Here is a 12,781-nt window from a genome sequence, read left to right as displayed (position 1 = left end):
CAGGAGTCATGCTTGCCTGAGCCAGAGCAGAGCCAGTGGGCACTCAAAGGCAGAGACAGAGCCCAAAGGGACTGAAGAGGTAGAACTGGCTAAGCATAGGAGGGTCCTTCCCTGGGATTTAGTAGGTCTGGAGAGGGACCTTGAACGAATAGTTTAAATAAATTTCCCAGGTAATGCTGATGATTAGTCAGGTTTGGGACCCACCAGTGCAGACTGCTTCTCAAAGAGCTTGAGTGTCCAAGAAAGAGTGACAGAAAGCCAAGAGGGGCCTTTGGTTAAACATCAAAGAGCCTGGATTGTTTATGTGCCAAAGAAAAAGAAGCAGCAGGGAGCAATAAGTTGGAGATGAAGCTACACCCCTGAGTAGCTGAGTTTCTGGAATCCACGCAAGGGAAAGATTTTCTTTCTTTCTTTCTTTTTCTTTTTTTAGATGGAGTTTGGCTCTTGTCACTCAGGCGGAGTGAAATGGTGTGATCTCGGTTCACTGCAACCTCTGCCTCCTGGGTTCAAGCATTCTCCTGCCTCAGCCTCCTGAGTAGCTGGGATTACAGGTGCCCACCACCATGACTAGCTAATTTTTTGTATTTTTAGTAGAGATGGGGTTTCACCATGTTGGTCAGGCTGGTCTTGAACTCCTGAGCTCAGGTGATCCACCCACCTCAGCCTCCCAAAGTGCTGGGATTACAGGCGTGAGCCACCGTGCCTGGCCCAGGGGAAAAATTTTCAACAGGAAGACCTCAGATCTGAGACAAGAAGAAATGGCTCAGGGATAGGAAAACAGGCACAAACATTTGAGGAGAGAGGGTTAGGGAACAGGCTGAGGGAATTCTACCTAAGCTCTCCCTGCTTCCCCTTTTCCCTTTTCTGAGAAAGCTAAGATGTTTGAAAAAACTATAAAGGTCATGGAGAAGATGAGAGGGGACTCATAAAAGAGAAAGAAAAGTGCTATTGCTAAGCCAGCAGAGTGGCACATGTGTATAGTCCCAGCTACTCTGGAGTCTGAGGCAGGAACGATTTCTTGAGGCCAAGAGCTTGAGTCCAGCTGGAGCAACATAGCAAGATCTCTGTCTCTTACGAAAAAAAAAAAAAAAAAAAAAGGTGAGGTAATGTCCTGTTGAGGTAAGGAACTTTATATTAGTCCTGGTACCAGTGGGCACAATTGTGTGATTTTCTTGATGTAAGTTCACCCATTTCAGCAAATAAAAATTCAGTTCACCAGCTAAATTTGAATTTCAGATAAACAATGAATAATTTTTTTAGTATAAGTATGTCCTATGCAATATTGCAGATATAAACTAAAAAAAATTCCTTAGTTATTTGAAATTCAAATTTAACTGGGCATGCTGTATTTTATCTGGCAACTTTATAGGGGAACTTGAAAAATCAGATGTGAGGATTATGACTTAATACTTAAAGTTGGAATTTATTATGCAAATCATCTTCATTTATTAATGTTTATTTATTTGCAAGCATGATTCACTGCTAGTAGCAGACAGGGCCATGAGCACATACTCGTAACATGGCAACAAACACAAGCGGGACTGATTAGATCATGAAAGCTGAGCTGCATCTCTCCTCCTACTTCTGTCTCATTTCCTGAGACATTCACATTCACCTCTGACCCCAGAAATCAGCATTTTCTATCCCAATCTGCCTTGACCATGCTGGGGTCCTTCAAGCCCATATCTCTGTGTTTATCATTAAGCTTTAATTCTCATGAGAATTACAATATTTCTCTCCAAAAAAAACCTCATCTTCATGACTTAAATTATTTTTTATGTAAAATGTAAGACTTTGCAAAGGAAAAGGTACATTTTTCATATTTTATTCTATATCACATTTTAGTTCTTAGAACATTCTCATGGGAAAAGTATGTTAATTATCAGATCATTTTTTTCTAGGCTAATTATTAGTGATGTAATTTTTAAATGATTGGATCAAGGAAAGAGTTGATCCTTATATATAGGCTGGCTTCATTCCTTATATATATTGTACCAATTTGGAGATATCCTATGATCCATCAACGTACAGAATGACAAAATACATATATATGTCTGTACATATTTGTGTGCTAAATGCAAAACATAAATGACTGGCAACCTGTTTTACTTTCAGAACTCAAAAATCTTAGTTTCATACCTTGAAGTTAATTACTCTCATGCAAACAAACTTTAAGGAAACCTGCATTCTACTGGCTTTGGCATATCTTTCACAGGGGAAAAATTGAAGATAACTTAATTTTGGAGCCATGCTTTGATCAATTAAACCATCACTGTGATGGCAATGTTAGAGTCCTAATTTACAGTTATGAAAGAGACAAGCTGTCAAACCAATATTGATTCTCTTCTTCTTACCAGGTAGAAGATATGATCAGCTAAACTACTTTTCACAGCCTCCATGGCAGCTGAACACGAAACTCCTAGAAAGGCTTCTTAAGAGAAGCATAGCCAGATTGCATGAACTCTTTTTTACTTTTGTCCCTTTCCCTTGCTTCTTACCTGGAACTCAGACATGGTGGCTGGAGCTCCAGCAACCACCTTGGACCATAAGAACACCTTAAAGATAGAAGCATGCTACAAATTGCACAGTAGGAATGTAAGAAGAGGCTGGGTCTCTGATAAGTATGGTACCACCCTATGGGGTACAGATCCATTAACCCTCAAATTTCTTTTACTTGAGACAAAAACAGTTAAAGATCATGTTATTTTTGTTGTTTGTTACTAGCTACCAATGTAAGTTCCAACAGAGGTACAGCTATTAATGGTGAATTTTAAAAAGATGAGTATTGCTTGGCTTAGTAATAACAGTAAAGCTTATTGAGTATTTACTGTGTGCCAACCTCTGACATACTTTCTAAAGGTTGTCTCATTTAATCATCACAATAACTCCATAAAGTAGATACTGTATTTAGTTCATCTTTCATATGAGAAAACTGAGCTTAGGAGTAACTTGCTCAAAGCTATACTAGGAGGTGGTGGTGTTGAACTCAAACCCAGACAAGTTTCCATAAGAGCCCTGGCTCTTAACTTCTCAGAGGTGGAAAGAATAACGTTTTCAATGACAGAAAGCAAAGCACATTTTACAATGTTTAATAGATCAGCCATTCGTTTGTACATCGTTGGGTATTTTTAATGAGCCTTACTTGTTAGTAGAAGCTGATTATGTAGAAATGAATACGACACGTGTCCCATCTTTGTAGCTCCTGGTTTATGGGAGAGAATGTTTAGGAAATATTTGTTGTATCACTAACATCTACCTCAGCACCATAGGAAAAGTAAAAAAAAAAAAAAAAAAATCTACTGAATATCCTTAAAATTCTACTTTAATAATCTTAAGTAAATTATGAGATAGGGAAAGTTTTTCTTCAGGGCCCTCACAACCCTCATCTCTCCTATCCCCACCTTTAGTTATAGGCAGGGCTGTTGCATACAGTTTTGCAAGATTATGCAATGCTGGATTCTGGGGAGAGCTGTTCACATCCATTGTCTTCACTGAATTTTGGTATTTATCACCGTGATGTTCTGGCTGAAGGCAGTAAAATGTCTTGAGAAAGCATGTTTTTTTTTGTTTTTGTTTTTGTTTTCCTAATTTGCACAAGGACACCCTTTGGTCTAGTGGCAAGTCTGGTTATATGCTTCTGCTTCCCACTTCAGGCACTCTGGCTTGTGATCTTCCACTGGAAGCACCCCAACATCCCTAACCCCAATCCTATTCCAACCTTAACCCAACAAGCTCTGTTTCAGAGAGCTTACAACGTGTTGGAATTAACTCTCTCATCTGACAAGTCAATGAAGTCCATAAACTCAATTACAGTAAAAATAGAAATTAGTTTGCATTCTTGGTTTTCTCTCTTGTATAGACACACTTGTATAGTCAAAGTCTTAATTCAGAAGGATGTAGGGATGTGTGTCTGAGAGAAAGAGAACTCTTAGTGAAGTACTGTAATAACAATTTTAAAATTATAGTACTCCCGTAATCCCTTGCCCAATTCCATCTCATTCCCCAGAAGAAAGTATTTTCAACTGTGATCTGAGAGACAAAAATAGATGCCCCTTTACTGACTAAGATGAACTCTAAAGTTAAGGAAATGAAAGGTACCTATGGGTGGAAGATTCAGGGCCCTGCTGCATGACAGATTTCTAAATTCCTAGGGCCACAAGAAGAACCACATTCTTGTTAAATTCCATATAGCGGCCAGGCACAGTTGCTCATGCCTGTAATCTCAGCACTTTGGAAGGCGGAGGCGGGCGGATCACTTGAGGTCAGGCATTCAAGACCAGTCTGACCAACATGGTGAAACCCCGCCTCTACTAAAAATACAAAAACTAGCCGGGCGTGGTGGCAGACACCCATAATCCCAGCTACTTGGGAGGCTGAGGCAGAAGAATCGCTTAAACCTAGGAGGCAGAGGTTTCAGTGAGCCAAGATCATGCCATTGCAATAGAGCGGGACTCCATCTCAAAAAAGAAAAAAAAAAAAATTCATATAGCTCCTATCAGACCCCTCCTAACTCTGATTTACAACACTGATCGGACAGAGGACTGGCCTTACAAACATTCTTTTCTAATAAGAAACTGCAAACCTTGAATCAGTTTCAGCCAGCTTAGAGGCTGAGCACAAATTGTCTTTGTGTCTAATAGTTCACCTTTTGACATAAACAACAAAATTTGACTTCATTTTAATGCTAAAACTCCCCTCAAAGTGAATATGGGATGTATATTACATCTATGTTTACCTATTGCACATGTGTTTGGCACCTCTCACAGATATGTGTAGCTTTTCCCCCTAAACCTGCTAAATATGTATGGCTCTATTGTGTAATATGGGCACTCTGAGGCATCAAAATCAAACCTACCCTTCCCTCCTCAAAGAGAGACCACCTTTACTATATGCTGGAGACTATCTCTTCCTGGTTTGCAAACTGATATGGCTAATAAAGCTCTTCTTTCTACTATTTAGCCAAAAGACCTTGGATGACACAACTCATACAGGGTTGTTTTGGTATTTACCTCCATATTTCCAAACAATCTGCTTATACTGGTATGTCTTGTTTATCAATTTCAAATTTATTTATTAATATCCTATTAATAATAAATATGGATGTACATCTCTTATACCACCAGTCCCACTTTCCTTATATCTCTCACTCTCCCGAGATAGTTAATTCAATACTTCTCAGAGGTAGAAGGAATAACATTTTTAGTGACAGAAAGCAAAGAGGATTTTACAATGTTTAATAGATCAGTCATTCATTTGTGAAACTGTCATTGAGCGTTTATTATGAACCTTGCTCATTAATAGGAGCTGATTATGTAGAAATGAATAAGACATATCCCATCTCTGGGAGTTTTAGCTATGCCAGTATTCAGTGTTGACATTTTTATGATTGGTAAATGTTGACCCTTCAGAGCCAAGTTCTTTCATATAAAACATTGTTTTTCCTAGTGTTAACAATTGCCACATTTTGTCATTTCTTAGTATTAATAAATGCCTCATTTCTTGATTTCTCATCAAAAATTTTTATATGTGCTCCATCGCATCTCTCAAATACTTATCAATATTTTCCAAGTGCTCAGATATATCAGATAATCTGTCAATTCTATTTTTTCCTGGAGGCTCTTCCCAGTCCTCCTGCTCCAATCTTGAGTTATTGATTTCTGGTTTGTTACACAGCAGTCATGTAGGACACCCTTTCGCTATTATGTGAGACTGTCCTTTGCCTCCTGCCTGCATTGGATCTCTTCCTTCTTGTGGACCCTGGAGTCCTCTGTCATGTATGCTCCTTCTTCTGTTGGTATATATTCTCCAGTTGTTTCCTACAAAAGTTATATGTTTGAATTATGTGTCTTTGAATGTCTCTATTTACCCTCATACTTGACCATTAATTTGTCTAGGAGAAAATAATTGTCTCACAAACATTTGAAGTATGGCTTCATTTTCCTCTAGCATCCTCTAGGATGGCAAATTGCTGCTAGCAAGTCTGATGCCATGTGGATTTCTATTCCCTTGCATATAGACTAATTTTAAAGTCATTTTCAAGATTTGTTCATCTTTGATGTTCTGAAATTTCATGACAGTATGCCTTGGTGTGGATCTTTTTAAATTTACTCTGCTCATATCAGTGGCCTTTCAATCTGTAGGCTCATTGCCTCAGTTTCAAGAAATTTTTTCTCTTTTTCTGGACTCCTCTTACTTCAGATGTTCTTACAGTTTGATCATTAGAATCTGTTATGTTTTCTCTACTAATGTCTTTTTATTTGTTTTTTTTTCTTGTTTCTCTGGGAGATTTGATTAACTTTATCTTTAATCTCTTCTATGAAAGGTTTTCTTTTATATATTATGCTTGTAATTTCTAAGCACTCTTCTTTGTTATTTTTCATTTTATCCTGTGTTTGTCTTTGTTTTTTATGGATGCAATATTTTGTGGAAGGAAAGGTATATAACAGGATATGGTACTTGGGGATCAGGTTAGGAAAAGATGGTTGGCAGCCTTCTTTAGAGAAATCTGAGGACTTATTACACTAAAACACTTTCTATGAAAATACCAGGAATAACATAGAATCAGACTTCTTACTTCTCAAAGTGGCTTCAGGACTGTGCTTGTTTAATGCTATGGAATAATGATATGTTTTTCATTTAGATATAAGACAAATCTGTAAATTAGGTTACAACAGGTATTAGATACTCTAATGGACTGGATAATGATTTCTAACCAAATAAGATTATTTTCCTAGTATTGGGCTCTCACCAATACCAAACGATCCAGTTAGATTTCAGTTTGTCTTCCAATTTTCTGGCTGCAGGATTCCTTAAGTTCAGAAATAATTCAGACAGCTTTGCAGGGGAGAGAAAAATGGCTCCCCTCCATCCTTGTAGGTTCTTTGGCTGGGCTACAAATTAAATTGACATAAGACAGATTAACTGAAGAAAAACCATTTTAGTTATGTGCATATGCATGGGAGTCCCGGAAAACATGAGACTCGAAGAAAGGCCAGATGATTGAAATTTATATAGCATCCTGGGGCTTCTTGTGGGAGGAGGCACCAAGTTATGGAAGGGTGATGGGGGAAAAAGTATGGTAAATGAAGTTTGTCTTGCTATGCAGATAAGTCTCTCAAGTAATAAAAGTTGTCTGGAGCAGCCCTCTTCCTGATACAAATACTTTTGATAACTTAGATTTGTTTTATAGATGTAAATTTCTCTTACACAAGGGGAGCTTTTCAGAGCTACTCCTGTGTCTGTAGATTCTCAGAATAACCAGCTCAAAATATGCCAAAGAAGCATATTTTGGCATGGCATATTCTTGTCTCCTCCAGTCATATTTTGGGATGGTATGTCTGAGTCCCAACAATGTCCTAGAGATTATAGATATTTGCTCAGTTTTCTCAGTTTCAAGAGACACATAAATGCACAATAATAATTGAGATTCACAAACTTTATCACACGGAATGATTTTCCTCAGTTTCTTGTTTATTACTCTTATAACTGGGTAAATTTTACACTCTGTAGTTTGCTTAGGTTTTTTGTTTTGTTTTGTTCTGTTTTCAGATCTATCTTAAAAGAACAGCCAGGTAGGCAAAACTCTTTGTACCTTATCTGGCCGTCAAGTTAAACTCGATTAGTATCTCTCTCTTTCTCTTCCCATAAATGATCTAACTGTATTAATTTCCCTTTATGAAGTTCTGCACCAGCTTGAGCTGGGACAAACATCACAGACTCACGCTTCATTCCAGCTAATGGACCAAAGTTTCTATACAGGTGGAATTGCATTAACATGAAGATTAGTGGCAACTGGTGTGTTTTTTTAGGAAGAATAAGGGAGAGACAGTCCAACCTTTTCCTTTGAAGATGATGGAGGCTGTCATGTGCTGATAGTGTAGATGCAGATCTCAGGTCTGTCTTTCGAAGTGGCTGAGCCATTTCCTCTCTTGCTGAAGAGAGTCTCTGCCCTGAGTCACCGCCCTGTGGTTGCTAGGGGCTTGTTAGCTGCGTGGTAACCCTCTCCACCACCACCTCCCACACACTGAGTTCTGGGGAATTGCCCCAGTTTTCAGCTCTGCTGAGGGTGGTTTGTGACTCATCTTCTTTTCTCTTTAGTGACCTTTTAAAGGTCATTTCTCTTGTAGGGCTTTTTTTAATTTATTTGAACACAAGCAACAATGGTCTAAAACCAATACATTCATTTTGCATACCATTTATGTAAAATTGGCTTTCTATTCTGCTTCAGATAAAATATTTACTTTCCATTAGGGAAAAAAAAGTGCAGGATGATCTTATTTCCTATGGGACAGTCAAGATTATATTTCCCAAAAATGTTATCAGTAAGTGTCCAAAACAAGGTAAAGAGCCACAATCCTAGGAGTCTTATTTAGAACCTGTTTATTCCTAGCTTTACATACAATACCTTCCCTGGAACGAATAGGATTGCCAGTGCAAGCAAAGTTGAAGCATCCAATCTTTGCAATATTTTGCAATAGTAAGTAATTTTTTTTAATCTTTTTAAAAAATTTGTATAAATTTAAGGGGTACAAGTGCAGTTTCATTACACGCATATATTGCATAGTGGTAAAGTCTGGGCTTTTAGTGTAATGATCACCTGAGTAATATATATTGTGTCCACCAAGTAATTTCTCAACCATCACTTCTCTCCCACCCTCCCACCCTTCCAGGTCTCCAAGATCTGTTACTCCACACTCTATGTCCATGTGTATAAATTATTTAGTTCCCACTTATAAGTAAGAATAAGCAACATTTGACTTGTTTTATTTAAGAATTTAATCCTAGTATATATATTTCTTTGTTTTATTTTATTGTTATAGTTTAAAGATGTTATCACAGTTAAATATCCTCCACCTTTTAGAATTGAAAACCTCCTTGCCAATATTTCATAAGTCAGAATTCTTGGCATGCCGATTAGCAATTTAACTCCCCATACAGAGGAGAATATATATGGATGGGATATGGAAGATATGCCTTTGCTATGCACTTAACTCTTATCCCTAGTAACCAACTGGGCTAGAGAAGTGTAAGCAGCCCACTTGTGTTGGAATATAAAGTGTGAAGGTGAGAATGGCCGATGATATAAGAGAGACAGCATTAAGGAGCTTACATTTTTGTCATTTCATTTTGAAATTTATATTCTTAAATTTAGGAAATTTGTAAAGTTCAGAGGAAAAACATGTAAGACTTTAATATAATTCAAGAGAGTTAAAAACTACAGAAATATATTTCTCATTATATAATTCAAATGGCACAGTAATCACACTAATACTGAGTAGATGCTAAGTAAATGCTCTATACTAGAGTTTTATTGGTTTAGCATATGTGTGAATATGAGAGTGAATGGGGAAATATCAAAAGAAACAATATGATTCAGAGTGTACTTTTTGGTAATCTCACATTTAAAACTTCACAGTTTTATTATGTATACACACGCGCGCACACACACACACACACACAGACATGTATACATCGTGAAAATAAAAACACATAACCAAGGCAACCCTAGGAGTCCTAGGATACCAAATGCCTAAATAATAAACTGAGATTAATTTTTAAATACCATACATAGTAAGTTGTTTCTTTCCTTCCTGCTTGCCTCCCTTCTTCACGCCTTTCCTCTCTTCTTTCTTCCTTTTCTGTTACATTTGACAACAGGAAGGAAGGAAGGAGGCAAGGAAGGAAGGAAGGAAGGGAGGGAGGGAGGAAGGGAGGGAGGAAGGAAGGGGAGGGAGGCAGGGAGGGAGGGAGGGAGGAAGGAAGAAAGAAAGAAAGAGGAACTTCAAGAGGGGTGAAGATCAAATTTGCATTCCCAGCGCTGGCATGTGAATGTGGTTGGTCCGAGCTGGCCACCCCTTGAGCATGTTTGCAGATTGGTCATTGTTGCCTAGTGCCAATGAGAAATGATTGCAGTGCTAGTGTACACGGACAAGGGCAATCATTTTTATGGACCATGTAGCAAGATTGTGTCTATGACATTAAAAAACTGTACCCAGAACCGGGATGATGATCCAGATAGCATAGTTTGCTTAAGACAGGTTTAGATGCCATGTAAGTCATCATACAGTTTGTTGGGAGAGCCCTACTTAACAAGAAATAAAAACTGACAAATGCAATATTTCTGTGCTCTCTCCCAAGGCCTTGGGAAAGGCTCATGCAAGTGAGAGATTCTAAAGCTTAAGCTTAAATATTCCTCTGCTCCAATAGGGCACGTTCTTTGATGTGACACAACCTTCCCATGGACGATTACAAAACTATTGCCACCAACTGTCTTAGTCCATTTGAGCTGCTATAACAAGATACCTTAGACTGAGTGGCTCAAAAACAACAGCAATTTATTTCTCACAGTTTTGGAGGCTGGGAAGACCAAGACTCAGGTGCCAGCTCACTTTCTGGGTCACAGATGGCATCTTCTCCCTGTCTCCTTGCATGAGGGATGGGGCAAGACAGCTCTCTGAGGTCTCTTTTATAAAGGCATTAATAACTTCCTAAAGCCCTTACCTTCTCACAACCATCACCCTGGTGATTAGTGTCTAACATATTAATTTTAGGGGACACAAAACTTCAGACCATAGCACCAACCAAGCACATGTCCTCTGGGGGACTCAAGAAGCCACATTCTCTGCTCATCTGAGCCACACAACATCAAAAAATGATTTCAGTGACAATTTTCTCTATTAGCCCAAGATGGTCACATAACTAATACCTCTCCAGACGTATAGGATAGAAGTTAATTATTTGTATATTATGGATGTATTAGTGCAATAAGGACTAATTCTCTCATGGAACTAGTTGAGAAATACTCCTTTATTCTCATATCTTGTTATCCTTTGCTGAAAATGTATCACTGGAAGTTATACAATCAAATGTATAAAATACATGTGTTAGAGTACTGACTGGTAGTACTCTTCAAGCCAATTTCTGTGAGACTAATTTATCACCCTGGACTACAGTCCCAGGAATTGGGGTTACTCAGATTGGGCACATATAGGCACATATAATCCTCTGGTTAGTACTAGAAGAGCAATCTCAGTCACTAGGGCCAAGAGGCAAAGATGAGGTCATAAACAGGAAGTGAGGAAAAGCAGCAGGAACCATGGTGGTCAGGAAAGGAAGTATCAAGTCTAAACAAGGAAGAAATATTGCAAACCTGTTCTTAACCGGCCTAAGTCCCATGGTACAAACATGAACTTGACAGAATGAGTCCCAAATGAGAGTCAGTGGTGTGCTGACACAGAGAAAGGATAGTCCTTATTACTTATTCTCATGTTTTCCAAAAATGGAGAACAATCTTTTAATGAACAATCATGAAATTAATATTAGTCAAGAGTAGAAAGTCACAATTAAAGAACAGGTTGCAAAGAGCGTATCAATAATCTGAATGAAGTCTGCTAACTTGCATAAATTCCATGTCAGTTGTGAGATGCATATTAGCTATACCAACGTGGAGAAGAGCATCTAGGAGGAATTCTCAGAAAAGGCAATGCTTAAGATGAATCTTAGAGATGAATAGAACATTTCAGGATAGATTAAGCAGGATAAGGACAACAAAGTAATGTGAATAAGAACTTGTGTATCAGTGTACTTGAGGGACTGTGAAAGATGCAGGAATAAAATAAAGATTATCTAACATTCAAAAGAGATAGGAAGATCATTCCACACATTTCCCAAGGGGGATTCTAAATTGGATTATTAAAGAATGCTTCAAGGTCTTCTAGTTCCCAGCATGGATTAATTTGAAAAGATCAACACATCCTAATCTCTCTAAATCCCACTTCAACCATTCATTACCGGCATTAGAGAGTGTGCCTGTGCGCTTGCAGAGGGAGTGGTGGGAAGGAGAGAAGGAGAAGAGGAACATTGACTAAGGGGCTGCAATGAAAATTAGTGCAACATGACACTGGGGACTGAAGCAGACAACAGAAAGCCTATAGCAATGAGAGATGTTTAGGCCAGATGATTAAGAAAAGAAAAAGAAAAAATTAGCCAAGTTTCAAAAATACTAGAAAAAGAGTTGCAGGAATTGAAGGCAGAATTCACTACCAAAAATATAGATCCCAGGAAAATAATAGCACATGCAAATAGTTTGGGATGAAATAGGAGGAAAGGGTGAAAATGGGAGGAGATAAACTCTTGCTCTAAAACATTGGTTCTTAAAGTTTGGTTCCTACACAAGCATACATGAAAATTTGTTAGGAATGCAAATTCTACTGAATTAGAAACAGGGTGGAATCCAGAAGTCTGTGACTTGATAAGCCCACCAAGCAATTCTAGTGCACACTGAAGTTTGACAACTGCTTCCCTAGAGCATCAGCTAGAGTTCGCAGCTTATTTTAATGGGATTAAGGAGCTCAGTGTAATTCCAATGGCCAGTTTCTGCCTCGTTATGTGTTAAAATTGTTTTTTTAAGAAAAGCCATCCAAAATCTTTGCCCTGCGTTTAGAGTCCAGGGATCAATCACAAATCCTTTTGCTAAAAAGATCTGCTACACAAAAGAATGCCAGCTTTTTCCTAACCACCGAGAGTTACAGTGCTTTTTATAGTTCTGAAAATAAAAGACCTAAAAAGAGAAAACTTAGTGAACTTGCTGCTGATTCATTTGTATGAAAATTTAGTGAACTTGCTGCATCAAACTTTATTGACCAACCAATACAATTTATGAACCACCATCAGTTTTCACTCCAGCTATTGTATTATGACTTTTGGCAATTATTTGCAATAATATTTCATAAAATCTTAATGTTAATTCAACTATCTAGGTTCCTATTGTGTATTTCATAAT

The sequence above is a fragment of the Homo sapiens genome, chromosome 13 (genome assembly GCF_000001405.40).
Source record: "Homo sapiens chromosome 13, GRCh38.p14 Primary Assembly".
In the NCBI taxonomy this organism is placed as follows: domain Eukaryota; kingdom Metazoa; phylum Chordata; class Mammalia; order Primates; family Hominidae; genus Homo; species Homo sapiens.
Note: the sequence above shows the minus strand (reverse complement) of the source record.